This window comes from Homo sapiens, chromosome 1 (genome assembly GCF_000001405.40).
Source record: "Homo sapiens chromosome 1, GRCh38.p14 Primary Assembly".
Taxonomy (NCBI): domain Eukaryota; kingdom Metazoa; phylum Chordata; class Mammalia; order Primates; family Hominidae; genus Homo; species Homo sapiens.
In genome coordinates this window covers 6307129-6330585 of record NC_000001.11, presented here as the reverse complement: position 1 = coordinate 6330585, position 23457 = coordinate 6307129, and the positions used below count along the sequence as shown (strand labels likewise).

General features: G+C 51.9%; 1 protein-coding gene across 5 annotated transcripts in view; it reads left to right on the top strand.

The window, feature by feature from the left end:
• The window catches only part of ACOT7 (acyl-CoA thioesterase 7), a 129496-nt gene that overhangs the window by 63182 nt on the left and 42857 nt on the right, over nt 1-23457 (top strand). For all 5 annotated transcript variants that reach the window (NM_007274.4, NM_181864.3, XM_047443399.1 and 2 more), the window contains exons 5-6: nt 3173-3287; nt 12008-12094. In NM_007274.4, coding sequence (NP_009205.3) covers nt 3173-3287; nt 12008-12094 — 202 coding nt within the window. The remainder of the gene's footprint in view (nt 1-3172; nt 3288-12007; nt 12095-23457) is intronic.

Here is a 23457-nt window from a genome sequence, read left to right as displayed (position 1 = left end):
TCCTTTGTAGAGTGGGTTTGATGAGACATAAATACCAACTTGGCCTTGTCGAGGAGTTGTTGAAACCATTCCATGGCTCCGAGGCAGCCGGAGCCGCAGATGGGAGAGGCTGCACGGTTCTCAGCTGCAGCTGTTGTTCAGAGCTCTTTGCACCATCTTCCCCCCAACACACGCTAGGCCCACGTAGTATAAACCTCCCACTGATTTGGAATCTAGGTCTCCTGTTTTTCACTGGTGGGCCCGGCCAGAGGCCTGCTTAGGAATCCCAGAAAGTACAGCTTCCTTCCCTGGCTCCGATGGGCATTTATGCCCATCTGCTGGTGGCCTGGCCACAGGGCTGTCTTATATTGCATGAGCATGCTCCCGCTGACCTTTCTACAGACAGCCATCCCCGATTTAGGAAAATGTACGTCCCTGTATGTATAGATATACAGATATATATTATATATACACATACAAATAGAGATGTCACATACGTATGCATGTAGATATCTTGAACACGCACACACACACACACACCACACACACACACTGGTTTCCTGGATGTGTGCGTCTCCCTGGAGGAACCCAGCTGCCGGCCATGCGCACAGTCGTCTAGCGCAGGATGTCTTTTCTTTGCTCCACCTTCCTCCCCAGCCTGCCTGCAGCTTTCCCAGTGAGCAGGGAACCTCGGTGGGCCTGTGATGGGCCCGAGGGGCCCCAGGATGACCAGAGGGGCAGCCGCAGCCCTGGACAGGCTGAGTGGCTGTCGGGGGTGGATGCTTTGGTTTTTTTCAAATGTCTGAATATGTGCTCTAGCGAAGAGGTTCACAGCCTGTCTCTCAGATATTTGGGCCACGCTGTCTGCTGCTTCAGATCAGTTGGGTTTGATGAGCTCTCGGGGGTGAGAGTTAGGTGCCAGCCATCATTAAAATGTTCCAGCGGTTTTGTTCCCAGATGGAAAGGCAGCATTGGGGAGGAGGCTGGGCTTCTCCTCATGGCTTGTGTCCAGGACTGGGCCCCATCATTTCCCTGTGCGCCTGCCAAGCCCAGACAAATGTACTGGATACCATGAGGATTTATTAGACCGGGGGCTGGCTCCTTTAAAAAAAAAAATCCCTTTAAAAGGCATCTCTTGAGGATGCTGAAGTTCACCCACCAATGTTCCTAGGTAGATACACAGCACAGACTCTCTTCTCACAGTCGTTACTTGGCCGGTGGAACATTAGGACGTGGTTTATTTATGGAGGAAAAGGTTGAATTATCCACTGCAACTTAAAACACTCCCCACAGTTTGCTTCTTTTGAACAAACGCTTCAGCTCCCTTCTCAGCCTCTTTTGAAGATGGGTTCTCAACTGAAGATGATGGGTAGTTACGCCGAGGAACGGTGAATGGTGCTGAGACCCTGCACAATTTTGGAGCTGAGCCATGAGCAGGAATTATCGAGATGTTTAAAACTGGCTTTTGAAAGAAGGCCTAACACAGCCGTCTGAAGTGAACTTGCTTAGGTCAGAGGGGCTTCAACAGGCGGCCGAGGGGCCCAGAGGGGCCCTGAGTTCCGTGGCTTCCCCACAAGCTCAGCTGGAATGGTTGGTTGAGTGAATGTGAGAGCAGAAGTGGAGGCTAATCAGAACAGCCAGGTGGTAGTCGGCCCCTGGCCAGGCCAAGGGGGAGGGAGAAGGTCGTGGGGGATGGAGCAGGCAGAGGGTCTGGAACCAGCCTGCGGCCAGCACACAGGCCCCGAGGGCCCCTCCGAGGGTCCCATCCGAGTGTGGTGCATCCCCTCCAGTGTGCACAGCAGGGCAGTGAGTGAACCGTCTGTTACGTCCAAGAAATGCAGTATCCCCCTGCTGTGTCCCGGGACTCAGGAGCTTTGGCTTTTGTGCTGAGTTGTTGGTGTTTTTTATTTATTTATTTATTTTTTTAGACGGAGTCTCGCTCTGTCGCCCAGGCTGGAGTGCAGTGGCGCAATCTCGGCTCACTGCAACCTCCATCTCCCGGATTCAAGCGATTCCCTTGCCTCAGCCTCCCGAGTGGCTAAGACTACAGGTGCCCACCACCACCCCTGGCTAATTTTGGTATTTTTAGTAGAGGCGGGGTTTCACCATGTTGGCCAGGGGTTTCACCATGTTGGCCAGGCTAGTCTCGAACTCCTGACCTCAAGTGATCCACCCGCCTCAGCCTCCCAAATTGCTGGGATTACAGGCACGAGCCACCATGCCCGGCCTGTGCTGAGTCTTATAGTCACATTTATTTTTAACTTCTGGAGTCAAAACCCCTGTGATTCATTTGGAGAGCCGTGGGAGGACAGTTCCATCTTTTACTGCCCATTCTCTACCAATATATAACCTGTTTGATTGGCCAAGGGTCAGCAGGGACACACAGGGTTCCTGCTCTGTCATGGACTTTGGAGAGTGGGTGGGGCCTTTTTGAGGATCCCTTTATTCTGTAATGAATCCTAGGAAGCAATGGGACAGTGCAAAATGATTTTAAGTAACCTAGGATCAGTATGGTTTTAATAGTGAAAAAGCGGGGGCCGGGCACGGTGGCTCACGCCTGTAATCCCAGCACTTTGGGAGGCTGAGGCGGGCAGATCGCAAGGTCAAGAGATCAAGATGAGCCTGGCCAACATCGTGAAACCCCATCTCTACTAAAAATACAAAAATTAGCCGGGCATGGTGGCGGGCACCTGTCGTCCCAGGTACCGGGGAGGCTGAGGCAGGAGAATCACTTGAACCCGGGAGGCAGAGGTTGCAGTGAGCTGAGATCACGCCACTGCACTTCAGCCTGGGACAGAGCGAGACTCCATCTCAAAAACAAAGAAAAGAAAAGTAAAGAAAAATTGGGAACAAGCTAAGTGCCCACATAGTTACAAAAATTACGTTAAATAGATACACGGTTGCTTTTAAGCTCCACATACAGCACCATAGAGCTTTTTATATATTTGTAGGCATTAAAGCAATTCCAGGAAGGATCTAAACCAAACACTTGACCCAGGTTGTCTCTCTGGGGAGTGGAGCCACATGGGATTTCACTGTTTCTGTATTCTTATTACTTATATTAAAACACACATGAACAGAAGAAAAAATAGTCCCAGTTACACAAGGCTATAAGGGCCTGGGATCATGGCCGCCCAGCGAGGGGAGGAGGCCGTGTCCTGCCTGGGCCTGACCTGTCTTTGGTTTCTCGCAGTATTCCCGGCAGGAGCAGGAGGAGGAGGGCCGGAAGCGGTATGAAGCCCAGAAGCTGGAGCGCATGGAGACCAAGTGGAGGAACGGGGACATCGTCCAGCCAGTCCTCAACCCAGGTAAGAGCCGCGGACACCAGCAGCAGGTGCCACTCCTCACCGGGGACGCATAGGAGGCAGGAGCAGGCCGGGCCTACGTGAGCCTCATGCTTGAGGTTCCCCAGGTGCTGAGCATGCTCTCCGGGAACCAGTTTCTCTGGGGTCCCCAGGGAGGGCTGTCCCCCAGCCCCGCCCTGAGCCATGTAGACCCCTCCAGTCACACACCTGGAAGGCGACCTGCGTGACTCAGGGAGTCCCAGAGGGCACTGTGCGTGGGGCCTCCATTGCCAGGCAGGTGGTGTGCACCTGTTCACAAGGAATTTGTTTTTGTTGTATCTTTTCCTTGTGTTCGCTCAGTGGCTTGTTCTTTTCTTTTTTTTTTTTTTTTGAGTTGGAGTCTTGCTATGTCACACAAGCTGGAGTGCACTGGCACAATCTTGGCTCACTGCAGCCTCTGCCTCCTGGGTTCAAGTGATTCTCCTGCCTCAGCCTCCCGAGTAGCTGGTATTACAATTACAGGCATGTGCCACCATGCCCGGCTAATTTTTGTATTTTTAGTAGAGATGGGGTTTCACCATATTGGCCAGGCTGGTCTCTAACTCCTGACCTCAAGTGATGAGCCTGCCTTGGCCTCCCAAAGTGCTGAGATTACATGTGTGAACCACCACACCTGGCCAAGTGGCTTGTTCTTGATGGGATTTCCAACTCATCCAAAAAAGAAAAAAACGGCAGCAGCTGTTCAAGCGCCACTTCTTCCCGGCCCCACTGTTCAGACATTGATTGGAGGAGGGGCTCTGCCAGTAGGCACTGGGCTCTGTGGCATGCCCAGTTTCCCTGTGGTGTTGGTCCCTTCTGCCATCCATCCTCTTGCTCTCATGTCAGGGTGCTCTGGCTTTAACAAAATGTTCACTCAAAATCTAAACGAAGGCACGATGAGATGTTTTGCCTCAAGCAAGGACTTTCTACCCAGAGAACTCCCCGCGTTCCTAGAAACAATTCAGGGCAGGGGGCCCTGGGGAGCATCTGTCCCCCTAGGAAAAGGGTGAGCCCTCGGGGGCAGGCAACGAGCATTACCCCTCTCCCTACTGCACACATGGTGGTCATGTTGTCGTAGTGGCAGGAGAACTCCCTCCAGGACGCACTGTGTGCTTCTCTGCCTCCCTGCGATGGCCTGGGCTCGTGGCACATTCGTGCTCTGTGCTGGGTTCCACAGGGTACCTCATGCGGGATGGCAGCCTGAGGAGGGTTTGCTGCCCCCCACCATGCCTTGGGAGACCCTGGTCATGGTGGGTGTTTGAGTTTCTTACTCAGCTTTCTCTGTTTTGCCTCCACCCTCAGCAGTGGTGGAGGACCTGCCTCAAGTAATCCCTTTCCCCCTTGGATGTGCCTGTGATGTGGGCTCCACTCTGGGGTCCACCTGCTCCTAGCCCTGCCGAGAGGCGCCCTGGCCCCTGCTAACCTGGACTCGGGGCATTGTTATGGCCGCTCACCTCCCTTGCTTAGTCCACATAAGCACCAAAGGGGACTGGTGAAAACCCAGTGGGCGCACAGATGAGAGCATGGCTTTCTGGGCTTGGCTGCTGGCATGCAGCAGGAGTGTGCTTGTTTTCTGGGCGGGTCAACTTGAGGCTTGAACAGGAGTTTGTGTGTATTTGGTCTCACATGTGTGTCTCTGACTCAGTCTGTGCTCCAGCCTCAACTTGCCAAAAGCGGACTGGTTGTCACCTTAGGCCAGTGGGACTGGGTAGGTCGGTTTCTTTACTGTTGGGGAAACCACTGTAGGTTTCCTCTCTTTTCATGTCTGCTTTTTAACAAACACCAAAAAAAGAAAGAAAGAAAATTAATGTGTCAGTATTAATAGAAAGAATGGTGCTGCTTTGATGAAACCCCAGTAAAGAGATATCTTTTTTTTTTTTTAATTTGAGGCAGAATCTCGCTCTATCCTCCTGGCTGGAGTGCAGTGGCGCGATCTCAGCTCACTGCAAGCTCTGCCTCCCGGGTTCACGCCATTCTCCTGCCTCAGCCTCCCCAGTAGCTGGGACTACAGGCGCCCGCCACCATGCCCCACTTATTTTTTGTATTTTTAGTAGAGATGGGGTTTCACCGTATTAGCCAGGATGGTCTCGATCTCCTGACCTCGTGATCCGCCCACCTCGGCCTCCCAAAGAGCTGGGATTACAGACGTGAGCCACTGCGCCCGGCTGAGATATCTTTTAAAAATAAAATTTAAACAGCCAGTTTATCAACACAGCAATACACCAGACAGGCCTGGAGGCACGTGCTGGGGCAGGCAGTGCCCAGGCCGTGCTTTTGGGAGGGCAGCCCAGCAGTCAGGTCAGACACCGGCTGTAAGGAATGGGATGGGATGGGAGCAACGGGAGGTGTCTTAGGAAAGGCACCAACACAGCGCTCAGGGCCAGACAATATGTCCACATTCAAATCCCTAGAGCCTGTGAATGGGACCTTATATGGAAAATGGGTCTTTGCAGATGTGGTTAAATTAAGGATCTTGAGATCATCTGGGTTATGCAGGTGGGCCCCAAATCCAGTGATCAGTGCCCTTGCAAGAGACAAGAAGAGGCTATGTCTAGCCTAACACAAAGGGGTCCTGGAGGAGAGGGTTGGATGGAACATGGGGGCTGCCTGGACCTACCTTTTTGTGAGCGGTTTCTGGAGAGAGCTTGGGGTAGGTGCCAGACCCCGGGGGGTGTGGGCAGCACTGCTGGGCTGACTCTGGCTTTGAGAAGCATGGATTAGATCCTAGCTTCTGCCTTTAACTGATCCTCAGGGACACTAAAATTACTCAAGGTTTTCAATCAGTTTAAATTCCTTTACTCGTGGGATTCTCTTCTGTTTGCCAGCCTCCGATTGACTGTAAATCTACACGTGATATTTTTCAGAATGTGTTATTCACTGTCAGTCAGAGTTGGCCTCCTGAATCTCGATTTCCTGATTGTATGTGCTTTTATTTTTACTTTTTTGTTTTATAAAAATGTATCTTCCTCAGATGATTGGATTAGAGACTCGGCTTTTAAATATTTCTTAGGAAGTCCCATGTCCATTCTTTCTTGAGCATTTCTGAACATCTGCATCTTTGACTCCAGTTTCCTGGTAGAGCCGGTATCTCAGTGGCATGGCTTCCCGGTACCCTCGGGAGCCCAGGGGTGGGCTCATCTGAGACCAGCCTGGTCTCCTGTATGGTGGCTTAGCCTGAGTTGGGTTTGGCAGGGGCGTCCGGGTCAATGGGGAACAGCAGCTCTGGGAGAAGAGTGTGCGTATGTGCTTGGCACTGGGGTCTTTCTAACAGGTGTGACACGTGCTATCCCATCCCGTGGGAGGACCCTCCGTCTCTGCCCTGGAGAGGCCATCTTGGCCTTTGACTTGCCTGCTCCCAGCCCCTGTCCATCCCACATCCCAGACCTCATCCTAGAGCAAGAGTTCAGACTGTTGCCTAGCAACCTCCACAGGGGTGGCCTCGTCTTTCAGGTACCTCAGAGTCTGAGAGTTCCTTAAAAGTCCTTTGTCCAATATATACAGCTATAATTTGTCTATATATATATATATATATATATATATATATATTTTTTTTTTTTTTTTTTTTTTGAGACAAGTCTCACTCTGTTGACCAGGCTGGAGTGCAATGGTGCGATCTCGGCTCACTGCAACCTCCACCTCCTGGGTTCAAGCGATTCTGGTGCCTCAGCCTCCTGAGTAGCTGGGATTACAGGCATGTGCCACCACACCCAGCTAATTTTTGTATTTTTTGTAGAGACAGGGTTTCGCCATGTTGGCCAAGCTGGTCTCGAACTCCTGACCTCAGGCGATCCGCCCGCCTCAGCCTCCCAAAGTGTTGGGATTACAGGCGTGAGCCACCATACCTGGCCAGAAGGCAGACCTGGTCAGGGACTAGACCTCATCTGTTCCCTGCCCAGGACAGCTGGCACTCAGAAAGGGTAGCTCATTCCTAACTGACAAGCCCCAAGCTGTTGAACACGCCAGCCCACTGGGCCACGAAATGACTGGGACTCATTTCAGGTGAAGACAGGTCCTTTCTAGGTCTGGCCTTAGGCAAGTAATGTTTCTCAGTAGCCGAAAAAGCTGGTGGGATGAAGGGTGGTCCTGACCCAGAAGTTGATACCTGAGGTCTCCTAAGTGTCCGATTTCATTGCTTTGTTTTTCTTTTTTTTTTGAGACGGCGTTTTGCTCTTGTTGCCCAGGTTGGAGTGCAACAGCATGATCTCAGCTCACTGCAAACTTCGCCTCCCTGGTTCAAGTGATTCTCCTGCCTTAGCCTCCCAAGTAGCTGAGATTACAGGCACCCGCCACCATGCCTGGCTAATTTTTGTATTTTTAATAGAGAGGGGTTTCACCATGTTGGCCAGGTTGGTCTCGAACTCCTGACCTCAGGTGATCCACCTGCCTCAGCCTCCCAAAGTGCTAGGATTACAGGCATGAGCCACTGCGCCCGGCCCCAGTGTCATTTCCGAGGCTTTGATGTGCCTCTGGGTCATGGTTGCTAAATTGTGTCACCACAAATCATATGTTGAGGTCCTGACCCTGAGTCCCTCAGAATGTCACTGAATGTAAAGAAAGAGTCTTTAAAGAGGTAATTAAGTTAAAATGAGGTCATTAGGGTGGGCTGGTGTCTTTACAAGAAGAGGAGGTTAGGACAGACACACACAGAGGAACAACCCTGTGAGGACACGGGGGAAGGCGGCATCTACAAGCCCAGCAGAGAGGCCTCAGGAAGAGCCAGCTGCTGATACCTTGACCTGGGACTTCCAGCCTCCAGGGCTGTGAGACGAATTTCTGCCGCTTAAGGCGCCAGCCTTTGGTGGGCACTCTTGTTACAGCGGCCCCAGCACACGGGTACACTCCACACACAGAATTTCAAACCGCCTCCCCTCCCTTCTCTCCTGGTCACTGTTAGCTGCCATGTGAGTTTCCTCATTCCTGCCCTGGGCTTGCCCTCATGCCAGGGTGTGTGGGAGAAGTAGCATGTCATGGAGTCAGAAGCAGAGTAGAGGAGCTCCTCCCAAAAAGCCACATTCTGGGGGCCTCCCCACCCAGCCCACCCTCCTGAATATGCGTCAAGAGGTCCTTGCATCTGGGCCCCTCTGGGAGCTGGCGTGCAGGGTCGCGATCTCAAAGCCAACCAACAGACCCCTCCAAGTGCCAAGGCTTTTGGGAAGGAGCCCCTGGGGGCCCCGACATCCTGCATTGCAGCCAGTTCGCACGACCTGTGGCTTGGCCCAAGGGAGGGGATGCCTGCTCTCCCACCTGCTGCTTCAGCGTGGGCCTGCCAGGGTCTAGGGGTGTCCAGAATCAGCCTGCAATTGCCGAGGGCACCTTGGGCCTCAGGGGAATTTAGTACACCCTGAAACCCACAATACCACGAGGAGTGGGGCTCTGAGAGAAGGCCAGAAATTGGCGGCATGAAAAGATTGGAAAAGCCTATTGTTTATTGACCTGGGAACGGAAGGAGACTGAAATCAAAAGCCCATTAAGACTCAGCCTTGGCTGGGCCCGGTGGCTTACGCCTGTCATCCCAGCACTTTGGGAGGCTGAGGTGGGTGGATCACGAGGTCAGGAGATTCAGACCACGGTGAAACCCCGTCTCTACTAAAAATACAAAAAATTAGCCGGGCGCAGTGGCGGGCGCCTGTAGTCACAGCTACTCAGGAGGCTGAGGCAGGAGAATGGCGTGAACCCGGGACGCAGAGCTTGCAGTGAGCCGAGATCACATCACTGCACTCCATCCTGGGTGACAGAGCGAGACTCCGTCTCAAAAAAGAAAAAGACTCAGCCTTGTGTCAAAAATCAGATTAAAGTGTGGTTTACACACCCACATGTGTCTTGAGAGAGTGAGAAAGGGAGTGGAGTGGAGTGGGATGGAAAAGTAAAAAAAATACACCAGGCTTGAGCGTGACACTTGGAAAGAACGTTGGGTGTGGTTCCTGTCACATGGAACTGACTGGAGGCAGACAGATCAGATGCCTACTAAGTTTACGAGGAAACTGAATTTGCCTGGACTGAAAAAAAGCTTTTGACTGTTCAAACTTTAAAGTAACCTCCCCAAACCTAGACAAGCAGGAGGTGGGCCGTGGGCCCCTATTTCCCAGTGCCCGCTTGGATGAGGCCATGGTGGATAACCAACAGGGAAGAACCTTCCAGGAGGCTGAGCAAAGGACCATGTAGTTCCTCCCCAAGAGTGGAATCAGAGTCTAACTAAAGACCCTTCCCCATGGCCATAGCTCAGACCCTGGCGGGAGTCATCTCTGCTTGGGCCAGGGGCTCCTGGGTAGCTCCTGTGTTCTTTCCTTTCCTGAATGAGTGTGCTCTTCTGTTCCCTCTTCCGCTGCTGTATAAAGGGTGCAAGTGTAGGTAACTCATCTTCTTAGTTCATTGGCTGCAGGAACATGAAGAATTGCGTGTAAACACGATGGAGAAGACTGCATGCATGTGACCAGCTGCTGCGCTCTGAGGTCAGCGCAGAGGCCGGATAGGGTTTCAGGTGGTCGTCCTTGAGGGTGAGGTGCTCCACGTGTGCAAAGAATACAACAGGGATCTGGTGACTGGAGGGGTAGAACCAGACAGAGATGACCAAGCCTGTCTCCACACATAGCAGGGCCACACTGCCCTGCCTGCCCTGCAGCGGGTGTGAAAATACCATGTCTAGAGTGTGAGCAGAGTGAAATGCTGCTTCCAGGCCTGACCCATCAAAACCTCAGGTGTGTGAGCCTCCCCCGACTCTGTCCCTTTCCAAGGTAACCTTCAAAGCTACCCATTAAAAGTAATGGAGCTACGGGACCAAAGGGGCCTGAATCCCCGCATCTCCAACATTTGGAGGAAATCTACCCCACTAGGAAAGCCTGATTTGGACTTTACCTAGCAGGAAATCAACCTCACTGTGTGACCCACTAGGGTTTCAGGGTTTATCTGCTGCAGCAGTGACTATGATCTTGACTGACACAGTGCCTAATCTGTGAACCTGCAGTTTCAAAATGATGTGAGGAGCCTGAACCAGGCCCCCAGGATAGCAGTGGGCGAGGTTTACACAGCCATAAACACAAAACTCTCCTTTTCGGATCCCGTCCTATGTGACAAGCTATTTACAGGGCTTCGTGTGTGCTAGGTGTTTACATCATCTTCATAACCCGATAGTTTTGCTTTCACCATCTCTGGTTCCAGCTGAGGAAACTGAGGCAAAGGGAGGTTAAGTTCCCATGAAGGCAGCAGAGCTGGGATTCAAACCCAGGCAGTCCAACTCCAGAACCTCCCTTCCTCCCCTATCCTCTCTTGCTTCCCCCATGCCCTCAGCCTCCAAACTACTGCTTACGGGAGCAGGACTATGGGCCTGGCCAGAGGGCCAGAGACATCAAGTGGGAGGCGTTTCAGACCCAGGGCCAAGCCCCTGGCCTGACCATGTTCACCAGCCCTCGCACCCTCGTGGATGGCTCAGGGCGGATCTTCCTGGGGCTTGGCCAGAGCACTGCCTGACCCCAGAAAGGCGGATCCCAACCCAGGAGCCGGGGCTAGGTGACCTGCCAGGACCCCATCTGCTCTGGAAGGGCTGGACCAGGCTTGGAAGTGAACACTGTTTTCAACGCAAGCGCCAGGGATGAGGCAGGCACTTGAACTTGTCTGAGGCAGGGCTAATTTTGTCATAAACCCTAAAAATGGACAGCCATGTGGCCACATAGTCCCTACATGGTCAAAGCTGGACAGCTGACAGCTATGAATCCGAAGAGCTCATGGTAATTCCATTTTCTTTTGTCAGACAGAGAAAACAATAAGGATAACTGACTTTTCAAAAATTATATATTGGGCTGGGCAAGGTGGTTCACGCCTGTAATCCTAACACTTTGGGAGGCTGAGGCGGGTGGATCACTTGAGGTCAGGAGTTCAAGACCAGCCTGGCCAATATGGTGAAACCCTGTCTCTACTAAAAACACAAAAATTAGCCAGGTGTGCTGGCAGATGCCTGTAATCCCAGCTACTTGGGAGGCTGAGGCACAAGAATTGCTTGGACCCAGGAGGCGGAGGCTACAGTGAGCTGAGATTGTGCCACTGCACTTCAGCCTGGGCAATAGAGCGAGGCTTTGTCTCAAGAAAAAAAGAAAGGTCTACCTTCTAGAGACTGGACGTTATATGTCATCGGCTTTTTTTCTTAAGTGCGGCCTCTTAAAGATATTTCAGGAGCAGTGCAGTGTTGGGTGACTGAAGCTCCTCCAAGATATTTGGGGCTCTTGCAAGAGTGAGGTGATAGAGCAGTGAATGGGGTTGGGGGCTGGCCAGAGGGAACAGCTTGCTCCCTGTGGAGCTGTACATTCTCAGGCTGTGGAGTAAATTACAGAAACACTGTGGCACTTCTTGTAAAATTGGAAATGCAAGTCAGATGGTTAACTAGAGCCTGGTGGAGGGTCACACGCAGCCCCGGGACTCACAGCTTTGAGGTGTTTCATGGCTACCCCTGGGCAGGGCCTTGCAGGGCACTGATGGCCCCAGAGAGTCTCGTCATGGCCCACTAACAGAATGGGTCATGAATCCTTGAAAACCTCTCCTTCACCAACTGTAGCCTGTTTGGAGACCATAGTTTTCCTTAGAGAAATCATAGCTGAACCCGGCTTTGGACGCCTTCGTTGACTGTGTAGACCTGAGGGTGGTTTCGGCATTGCCAGACCATTCAGCTGTGGGAATCAGCCTACCCCATAACTAATCTCTCTCTTTTGCAATTCCAGAGCCGAACACTGTCAGCTACAGCCAGTCCAGCTTGATCCACCTGGTGGGGCCTTCAGACTGCACCCTGCACGGCTTTGTGCACGGAGGTAAGAAGGAAGCGCCCTGGCCACTCCATTCCTGTCCCTTGGCTCATTGTTGCTTCTCTGGCAGCCGTGCTGCTGTCTGACACACTTGAGGCTCTTGTGTTTGGTGAAGTACAAACTTCCAAGAAGTTGTACAATAGGCCAGGTGCAGTGGCACATGCCTGTAATCCCAGCACTTTGGGAGATGGAGGCGGGAGGATTGCCTGAGCTTAGGAGTTCAAGACCAGCCTGGGCGACATAGGGAGACCCCTGTCTCTACAAAAAAATAAATAATAAGCCGGGCATGGTGGCCTGCACCTGTGATCCCAGCTACTGGGAGGCTGAGGTGGGAGGATCGCTTGAGCCCAGGAGGTCGAAGTTGCAGTGAGCCATGATCGTGCCACTGCACTTCAGCCTGGGCAACAGAACGAGACCCTATCTCAAAAGAAAAGGTTGAACAATAAATCACAGAAATATGCTGGCAGGCTGGGCGCCATAGGTCACGCCTGTAATCCCAGCACTTTGGGAGGCCGAGGTGGCTGGATCACCTGAGGTCAGGAGTTCAAGACCGGCCTGGCCAACATGGCAAAACCCCATCTTTACTAGAAATACAAAAATTAGCCAGGTGTGGTGGCAGGCGCCTGTAGTCCCAGCTACTCGGGAGGCTGAGGCAAGAGAATCACTTGAACCTGGGAGGCGGAGGTTGCAGTGAGCTGAGATCGTGCCACTGCACTCCAGCCTGGGCGACAGAGTGAGACTCCGTCTCAAGAAAAAAAAAAAAAAAAAAGAAAGACTCTGGCACCCATTTTTCAAATTGGTGATAAAAATTAAACGGATGACTGCGTCCCTGGGGAGGCTCACATGCAGCCCCGGGATCTGATAGCTGTGAGATGTTTAATGCCTGCTGAGGGTCAGGGCAGGGCCTTGCAGGGCACCGATGGCCCCAAAGACTAGCATCGTGACTCACCGGCAGTGACTCGTTAATAATGTTTTTCCTCTAATGTTTGCATTTATTTTTTCCCAGTAAGTACAGATCTCTTCTCAAACAACACAGGCCTTAAAGTTCGTAGCTTGGCTTCCCAGAGTTTGGGAAACAGCTGGAACGCAAGAGGATTTAGCTCTAGGTTCACAGATGGACACTTTTTACTTTAATAATGTGTAATTATTTTTCATGATTTAAAGAAAATGTAGATAGCATATCAAACCTGTAATTTCATGGCTACTGTAATTTTGAAGAAGACCAAAGTAAGCTTTTAAAAACAAGTTGGTTGAAGAAAAACGTCAAGGAGATAAGATCATAGTGAAGTGGTATCAGTGAGAGCAGAAGTTGTGAAGGTGCTGTGTGGTTAATGAAGGCTGGGTGCAGCTGTTCTTGGTGTACTGAGCTATTCATCTGTCCCAGGCATAACAGGCACTTTTGCACAATGCTGTCATTTCTAACTGCCTGGAACACCAAGTTCTGTTTTCTTCTCCACTCAGAAAACTCCTATTTATCCTTCAAAACCCAGCTCAAACGACACCACTCTGTGCTGGCTTACATTTATATTTCTACCAGGGACACCTCAGGAGCAGGGATTGGATCATATTCTTTGTGTTGGCTCCAGCACCCACAGAGAGTCAAAGGGGCACCTTGCAGATACTTACTCCATGAGTGAGAGGCACCAATCACTTTCAGGTTTGGGACATTGGCTCTGGGCCTATGAGATGGAGTCTCACTCTGTTGCCCAGGCTAGAGTGCAGTGGCATGATCTGATCTTGTCTCACTGTATCCTCCGCCTCCTGGGTTCAAGAGATTCTCCCGCTTCAGCTTCCCAAGTAGCTGGGATTACAGGCACGTGCCACCACACTCGGCTAATTTTTGCATTTTAAGTAGAGATGGGGTTTTACTATGTTGGCCAGGCTGGTCTCAAACTCCTGACCTCAAGTGATCTGCCCACCTTGGCCTCCCAAAGTGCTGGGATCACAGGCGTGAGCCACCGCGCCCGGCCCTGATGTGAGATATGTTTCCAAAGTTTGTTTCTTTTTCTTTTTCCTACTTCATGATTGTTTTCGTCTTCCCACTCAGTGGTGGCTGCACTGCTCGTAAATCTGATTAACTATGGTCTTGCCAAGGGAAGCTGTGCTTTATAACAGCACTTCCAGGCCCACGAGCACTATGACAATCTGAGTGTCTTGCTGCCCGCAGAACAGCTGTTGCCTCAGAGGCATTCCCTGTTTCCCCTTCCTTACTGCCCCCATGTCTCTGTCCTCCCTCGAATTCCAGGGTGGGCTCAGCTCCCTCTTCCGAGCCTGGCCATCCCAAGCCCAGGCTTCTGCCACTTCCGAGTATTGTGTTTGAGACTCATACAGCTCCATTCTGCCTGGAATTTGTGAAACTCTGGGCTATGAGTTCTGCTTACTTTGTCGACATGTTAGACGTTCTTCACTAAATGGGGCATTTCCGTCGTCGCTGTCTACGTGCTGAAAAGTCCACACCCTTAAGCCCAGTCTTTCTTTCTTTATGTGCTGAAAGGCATCAGTGAGATGCCAGGAGTGGGAGAAGTCACTGGAGAAGCCCCTTGGAAGTCCGCAGCATGTCATGTTCATTTACGGTGTCTAAGCTGCTTCACTGATACAGGCACATGTTAAGATGTGTATTAGGAATAATGGCTTTACAATAATGCCTATTTTAGTAGGGATTTTCTGCCCACAATTTGTAAAAAAATCTAATAATTTTACCAAGCTTAACCTTCTCTCTTTTTTTTTTTTTTTTTTTTTTTTTTAGACAGAGTCTCACTCTGTCGCCCACCCAGGCTGGAGTGTAGTGGCGTGATCTCGGCTCACTGCAAGCTCTGCCTCCCGGGTTCACACCATTCTCCTGCCTCAGCCTCCCAAGTAGCTGGGACTACAGGTGCCCGCCACCACGCCCAGATAATTTTTTGTATTTTTAGTAGAGACGGGTTTTCAGCATGTTAGCCAGGATGGTCTCGATCTCCTGACCCCGTGATCTGCCCGCCTCGGCCTCCCAAAGTGCTGGGATTACAGGCATGAGCCACCGTGCCCAGCCTTAACCTTCTCTTATAGGGCCTGGTAACTCACCACGAGTGAATGAATAAAATAAACACCACATTGAAAACACGAACTGTGATTTTATCGTATTTTCCTGTAAAGTACTGTTGGCAAGAATGGCATCTAAAATCATTTGAATCAAAATCTTCACTAAACTGTAATTCACTAGATGCCAGTTGCAGAAGAAAATGGTGAAGTGGATGCCAATTTAGCCTTTATTCTGTAATTCTAGACTGCGCAAAGCTGCGCCCGAGTCCCGTTTTCTGTGAGTTCCACACACTGGCTAGCCTTGGTCTTGAGGACTTTCCACACAGGTCTGGGTGGTGATAAACTCATGAAGGGTGTCTTGGAAAGGGAGGAGCTCTTCTGCCTGGAATCACAGGGAGAACGCAGTGCTCCCACCAGACACTAGCTCACTGCTGCTTTCCTGGTTGCATGGACAGAACCTCCTGTCTTTAGTTAGGGGAATAGTAGAGATCTGGGGAGTGAGCCCGAGGGTGTGGAGGGTCATTGTCCCGTGCGGGAGGAGGGTTGATGATGGTGTGTGTGCAGTTGTGGGTTGAAGGGCTCGTGGAGGGTGTGGAGGACCGTCATCGTCCCATGAGGGAGGAGGGTTGGCGGGGTCTCTGCCGTTCTGGGTTGAATGGCTCGTGGAGGGTGTGGAGGACCGTCATCATCCCATGCGGGAGGAGGGTTGGTGGTGTGCGTGCAGTTCTGGGTTGAAGGGCATGTGAAGAGGGCAAACTGGGCTTTTGGTTTCTGTCTTCCCTTGAGTCCTGAGTGAGTCACTCCATGGTCCCCCACCCTCCTGCATAGAGTGCTCAGGATCGGCCCAGAAAAGACCAGTTACCCCCTGTTCTCCCCTCCACTACCCCCACGTTTGCTTGTACAGACTGAAGGGGTGACCTAGCAGATACCTGTGGGGGTCCAGACCTTGGGAGAGGGAAGTTCTTGGGGGTCAGCCGGTAGCCCTGTTCAAGGCAGACCTTAGAGGAGTCTTGAGCATGCATTCTTCACTTCTCAACTTTTGGCCATCTTAGTTTTTTCCTTGTACTTTATTTTTTATTTTTAAATTAATTATTTTATACTTAAGTATTATGTGGAAACAATCCAGAGGGCTTGTGGGTCTCTCTTCCTCCCATCGCTCCTGCAGGGGTAGCTCCTGTTTCTGATTCAGGACTCTGCTTCCTAAGCATGAGGCTCTGTTGCTGTCCCTTGATGCGTAAGTTTCAGATGCATGAGCCCCATCACTGTTCATCAGGTGGGGTACTGTGATTACTTTCCCTCGAAACGGTGTTACTACGAAAGCCAATGGTTGTTCTGTGCCCTCCAGCAGCTCTGTAAGATGCTCTCAGTACAGTCTGCCTGCCACGGAACTGTTCCCTGCCATGTTCCCTAGAGGGGTCCGCCTTCAGTCCTCCTCCACGTTGCTCATTCTGTGCCTGCTCTAAACTGCTCTCCTGGGACGGCCTTTGCACTCGCCTGGGTTGGATGCCAGGATTCATGGATCTTCAATTTTTCTCTTTGCTGGTTTTGGTGGAACATGTCCTCCAGTGGCTCCCCAAGAAAGGCAATATATTAACTGGAATAAAGGCTCAGCTGCCACCCAGACAGCTTGGCTTCAACAAGAGAGAGGACTTTTTCTTTTTTTTTTTTGAACTAACAATGCAGCTGTGAGCGATCCACAGCCGATAGGCAGCCCCGTGGTGCTGGGGACCCAGGCTTCTGCTGCCCTGTGGCTCCGCCAGCCTGGGAGTGCCCTCTTGGTGAGCCACATGTTGCCTATCTCTTCATCAGCGTCCAGCCCCAAAGGGGTGGAGGGCATATTGAAAATTGCAGCCTCCCCTTTTGGCCACAATGTCCTCATGTGGCCACATCTGTGGGTGGGTGAGTGCCGCTGGTCAGACGTGTCTGTTAGACATTGGAGTGACTGATGAAGGAAGAGATAGTCTCTGTCATGGGGCCTAGAGGGTCATCTTCCCAAGCTTTGCGCGTCTGAAAAGACTTGTGGCTGAGCAGGGTGTGGGGAAGTGTTCCTTACAGGGCTTGGAAGCGTTTGTTCCATGTCTTCTGGCTTCTGAGGTTTTTGCTGGGAAATTCAGGGACTGTAGATTTTCCCTCCACTTTCTGGCCGCAACCTCTGCCTGTCTGCTGGCCTGATCTTCCCTCCCCATTCCAGCCTTCAGCCCTTGGCCTATCCTTGATCTTCCAGGGACTTTTTATTACTAACCCATTTATCTGGATAGCAAATCACGTAGTTTGCAGTTTCTGGGTGTTTCTTCCAAGTGAAGTGACATCCTTCTCCACCCCTGTCCCCCAGACACCACCAGCTTAGCAGCCGCAGGCGATTATGCTGTGCACTCACATTGAGAGCCATGGTTCTGGCTCACTGGGGTCACCCCAGGTGTTTGGTAGGTAGGAAGGGGCCCAAGAACTTGCACTGCCCCCTTGCTCCTTGCGATGCTGAGGCTACTGGTCTGGAGTCCCCACTGGGCCGTGTCATGTCTCTCTCAATCTCTGCGCTCTAGGCCACCCTTCCCAGGCAGTTTTGGCAGGTGGGCTCACCTCATGTAATTAAAAAGTTTTAATTTCATCTGTGGACAGCTTTTTAAAAAATTTTTTGGGTACATAGTAGGTATATATATTTATGGGGTACATGAGATGGTTTGATACAGGCACACAATATGAAATTAGTACATCGGCCAGGTGCGGTGGCTCACGCCTGTAGTCCCAGCACTTTGGGAGGCCAAGGTGGGCAGATCACTTGAGGTCAGGAGTTTGAGACCAGCCTGGCCAACATGGTAAAACCCTGTCTCTACTAAAAATACAAAAATTAGTTGGGTATGATGGCGGGTGCCTGTAATCCCAGCTGCTTGGGAGGCAGAGGCAGGAGAATCACTTGTGCCCAGGAGGGAGGGGTTACAGTGAGCCAAGATCATGCCACTCCAATCCAGCCAGCCTGGGTGACAGAGCGAGACTCTGCCTCGAAATAAAGAAATAAAGAAAGAAAGGGAGAGATAGAGAGAGGGGGAGGGAGGGAGGGAGGGAAAGAAAGAAAGCACATCATGGGGAATGAGGTATCCATTTCCTCAAGCATTTATCTTTTGTGTTACAAACAATCCACTTACACTCTTTTAGTTATTTTGAAATGTACAATTACGTTATTATTGACTGTGGTCACCCTGTTGTGCTGTCGAATAGTAGGGCTTATTCATTCTTTCAATTTTGTAATACCCCTTAACCATCTCCCCTGGCCCCTGCTAACCGCCCATCCTGTGGTTAGCTTTGGAGCCTTTCCCTCTATCTCAGGCTCCTTCCCCGGCCACCAGCTCTACCGAGGGAGACGCAGCCTCCTTTTGCTTAGAGCCAGCCCTTCCTCTCCATCCTGCCCTCTTCTCACTTCTCCGTCAGATCCGGTCTGTATGTCTCCTCCACTTGAGGTGATGTTGGCGCCTCCCCTGAGAGGTTGGATCTGTGACCTCGTCTCTGCTGCCTATTAAGGTCACTTGGGGAACTCTTAAAACCACAGACACCCAGACCCCACCCGACAGGTGACCCAGACCCTGGGAGTCGGGGTGAGGGGTGTCCAGGAGCTGTAGTGTCCCAAGCTCCCCAGGGAATTCTCGGGGACAGGCTGGGGCAGCACTGCCGCGGTAAACGTCCTACCCTGGGAAAGAGAAACGGCTGTGAGAAAGGGGCGCTCCTGGACTCGTGTGTCCATGAGTGTGTTTCCCTTCTTCTCAGCAAGTTTCCCAGTTCTGAAATCCTTCTTGTCATCTTCCTGGGTACCCTTAAGTGAGCAGCCTAGTACCCATTTTGAGCTATTTTGAGAAGCCGGAAGAAGAACCTCATTCCTACAGTTAGTTACTGTGATCCTCCCTGAATTATACCACAAGAGACCCCAATAGCTGGGGACGGAGGGAGTTGAGATACCTTGAGGGGCAGATTGAACCTTGCGGACAGCGGCAGCTCCAGCCCTGCCCTGGACCGGTTTTGTTGGGGGAACTGACCCGGCTGGCACCCCCAACACCGCACCTTTGTGGTACATCAGCCTGTCTCTCTCATTTCAGCCTAGATGTGGCCCTCATGGGGCCCTCGTCCATGGGATGATCCGGGTTGTTCTGGTTGCTTCTCCGGTTCCTGTATCAGGGTCTTTAGAGCGTGAGGGGAATGGAGGGAGGGCATGGGTTGTTCTCTGGCTTAGAAAAGAACCTCAACGTTTACTGATCACATCGGCTCTGAGTAAAAACTAACTCTGCTCTGAAACAGAAGTCAAGGTGGGTATCCTCATCGGGAGAGCTTGCTCAGCTCCCATGGTACTGGGAAGCACAGGATGGAGCATGTGGCAGGGAAGAGGGGCCACAATAGAGTTTCCTAAACTCATCTGAGCCTTAGAAACCATCTTTGTGCTTGTTAAAAGTGCAGATTCCGGCTGAACGTGGTGGCTCACACCTGTAATCCCAGCACTTTGGGAGGCCAAGGCAGGTGGATAACTTGAGGTCAGGAGTTCAAGACCAGCCTGGCCATCATGATGAAATCTCGTCTCTACTAAAAATACAAAAATTAGCCAGGTGTAGTGGCAGGTACCTGTAATCCCAGCTACTTGGGAGGCTGAGGCAGGATAATCACTTGAACCTGGGAGGTGGAGGTTACAGTGAGCCAAGATCATACCACTGCACTCCATCCAGCCTGGGTGACAGAACAAGACTCTGTCTCAAAAAGCAACAACAACAACAACAAAACAAACAAACAGATTCCCCAGCCCTTCTCCTGGAGGTTTTGCTGCAGCAGGGCTGGGCTGGGGCCCAGAAACCTGTATTTTTAGCAACAAGTGCCCTGGGTGGCTCTGATGATTCAGGGGCCTCAGAAACCCACAGCTAGAGTGTAGGTTTGTCTCAATGGATCCAGCAACCGTGTCCCTATGTCCAGCAATCTCCCACCCATGTCCCTGGACCTCTCCAGAGCATTGGACACCACTGACCTGGCCACCCTGAGGTCCCCTCACAGGATTTCAGGCCATTATGCTTTCCAAGGCCTTCATCCTCCCACGCTGGTGGGCGCCAGGGTGGCTGGGGAATGGGCCTGGGTGTCTGAATGTTGATCGCACCCCGAGTGGTTCTGCGCACATCAGGGGGAGGACCCTGGGGCTCTCTGGAGGCTCTGCCTCCTCCTCTTTCACCTGCCCCTGAGTGTGGGTGTGCCCCTGAGGTCTGCCCTCACCCTCTTCCCACCTTTTCTCCCGTGAGCTCACCTGACCCCACGGCCTCAGCTCCCGCCTCCAAGTGGCAACTGACAGATTTTCTAATATCCAGCTCAGTTGTTACTCCCAAGCTCTGGCAGCCTGTGGCAGCTTCACCTTGGACCTGCTCTTCCTCTGGATTCCCCACTTGCTGTCCTTGTCCTAACTTCTGAAGGTGACGTGTGAACGGTGCCCTGAGGCTGTGACCTGTGGCAGCCCTCACCTAACCTAAACTCTCTGGGCCTTTCTCTCCTCCCCACCAGTGAGATAATGCAGGGATTACAAACAGACGAGATAACACAGGGAAGGCAGCACATGGGAGGCATTTAAGAAAGATCAGTTACTTTCATAACTTTTATTACATTTACTTTATTAGTTTTATTATTACAGACATAGAGAATGTTCTGCTCCATGGGGAACTCAAGCTTTTTTCTCATATCCAGGGGAGCGTTTACAAAATAGGATCATGCACTTGACCACAAAGAGCGTTTTAATTATAAGTTCCCTAAAGTGAGACCCATTAAGCCTAAGCCTCCTTAACGAGAACATAGCCCCTGGAAATGGAACACTCCTGCAAATAACTGCCGGCCAAAGAAAAAGTAACGTCTGGACTTATGATTATGTAGAAGATAATGAAAACTGAATACTTCCTATCAAAATCGGGGAGATAGCTAAAGATGTTTTCGGAGTAAAAGTGACAAACTTTGAGCTTATTACTTAAAAGGAAAAATAAAAAATACCTAAGTGTTGGAACTGGAAAAAAAAAATAACAAAATCCACCCACAGGAAGGAGGCGGAAAGACTCAGGGCAGGAGCAGGCCGACTTTATGTCTCTGTCTGGGTCTCTGGGTCCCTCCTCTCCCCATATCTTGGAGCTGTCCTCCCAGCCCCCTACTGCAATCCCCCAAATCCAAGTCTTTACCAACACAGAACCTGTAAAGTTTGGGCCATCAGAGCTTGTTCCGCTGTCCCGTCCAAGTCCAAGCACCCTCTAGTTGCAGCCTACTGGGCACTGCCCTGGCACCTGGTTTGCAGAATGTGGGTGTGAGGTCATGACTGAGCCCCTTAACTGGGATGACTCGGCCTCTGCTGCCGAGGCTGGAGACCACGTCTGTTTTGCCTGCTCTGCCAGCCCCAAGTCACAGTGTGCACACCTGGGTCAAGGGAGTAAATGAAAGCCGACAGGGCGAACATGACTGTTGATCGGCCTTGGCGGTGAGTGCTGTCATGGCAGAAAATAGTGGCCAGGACGTAGTGGTTTTCTATTCTGTGCTATCTTCAGTCTACAAATAAGTTTATCAGTAAAGAGCCACTGACTGCGCCAGCTATGACAGTCTAGGAGGGTCTGGGGAGATGTACTGGCTGTGCTGGGAGCCCTCTGTCCGGTCGCTGTTCCCTCCGCCCAGTCGCTTTTCCCTCCGCCCAGTCGCTTTTCCTTCCATCCAGTCACTGTTCCCTTCACGTGGTTGCAGTTCTCTCCACCTGGTCATGGTTCTCTCTGCCTGGTTGCGGTTCCCTCTGCCTGTGGCTGTTCCCTCTGCCTGGTCGTGGTTCCCTCTGCCTGTTGCTGTTCCTTCTGCCTGTTGCTGTTCCTTCTGCCTGTTGTGGTTCCCTCTGCCCGGTTGTAGTTCCCTCTGCCCAGTTGTAGTTCCCTCTGGTTGCTGTTCCCTCCGCCTGTGGCTGTTCCTTCTGCCTGTTGTGGTTCCCTCTGCCCGGTTGTAGTTCCCTCTGCCTGGTTGTGGTTCCCTCTGCCTGTTGCAGTTCTCTCCACCTGGTCGTGGTTCCCTCTGCCTGTTGCTGTTCCTTCTGCCTGTTGTGGTTCCCTCTGCCCGGTTGTAGTTCTCTCTGGTCGCTGTTCCCCCTGCCTGTGGCTGTTCCTTCTGCCTGTTGTGGTTCCCTCTGCCCGGTTGTAGTTCCCTCTGGTCACTGTTCCCTCTGCCTGTGGCTGTTCCTTCTGCCTGTTGCGGTTCCCTCTGCCTGGTTGTAGTTCCCTCTGCCTGGTCGTGGTTCCCTCTGCCTGTTGCTGTTCCTTCTGCCTGTTGTGGTTCCCTCTGCCCGGTTGTAGTTCCCTCTGGTCGCTGTTCCCCCTGCCTGTGGCTGTTCCTTCTGCCTGTTGTGGTTCCCTCTGCCTGGTTGTAGTTCCCTTTGGTCACTGTTCCCTCTGCCTGTGGCTGTTCCTTCTGCCTGTTGCGGTTCCCTCTGCCTGGTTGTAGTTCCCTCTGCCTGGTTGTGGTTCCCTCTGCCTGGTTGCAGTTTCCTCCACCTGTTGCTGTTCCTTCTGCCTGTTGTGGTTCCCTCTGCCTGTTTGTGGTTCCCTCTGCCCAGTTGTAGTTCCCTCTGTCTGGTTGTGGTTCCCTCTGCCTGTTTGTGGTTCCCTCTGCCCAGTTGTAGTTCCCTCTGCCCGGTCACAGTTCCCTCCACCTGTGGCTGTTCCTTCTGCCTGCTGCGGTTCCCTCTGCCTGGTTGCAGTTCCCTCCGCCTGTTGCAGTTCCCCCGCCTGGTCGTGGTTCCCTCCGCCTGTTGTGGTTCCCTCTGTCTGTTGCTGTCCCCTCCTCCTGTTACTGTTCCCTCTGCCTGGTTGCTCTTCCCTCCGCCTGTTGCTGTTCCCTCTGCCAGGGTCTTGGTTCTTTCTCTCTACCTGGGTTACCCAGACAACTGTAAGGCTGCCTGTGTTTTTCTCCAGGTCTCTGAAGAAAAGGAAAGAGACCTCTCATGAGCACTCTGTATAAATTAGACTGCCTCAGCTTACTTTTTATTCCAAGGCACCATCACTCCTGACACACTTTCCTGTGACCTCTGTCTGTCTGTTCACTCCTGCATTCCCACTTAGCGCAGGGCCTGGCATGGAGTCAGCACTCAGTAGCTGAATGACTGGACTGGGAAAAATGAAGGTCCTGCGTGGGAAGGACTGCGGACTGTGCTGGTGCCGCGCAGTCAGCCCCACCCAGAGGATTGTGCCAGGCTGCACGTGCGCTGCACGTGAGAAACACGTAATGACCGCTCTCTAACTCGAGAACCAGTGACCAGGCACCTCCTGTGTGCCGAGCCCCGCCGTGCTCCACCAGGGACACTGTGAAGAAGACACAGCCCTGCTGGCTGG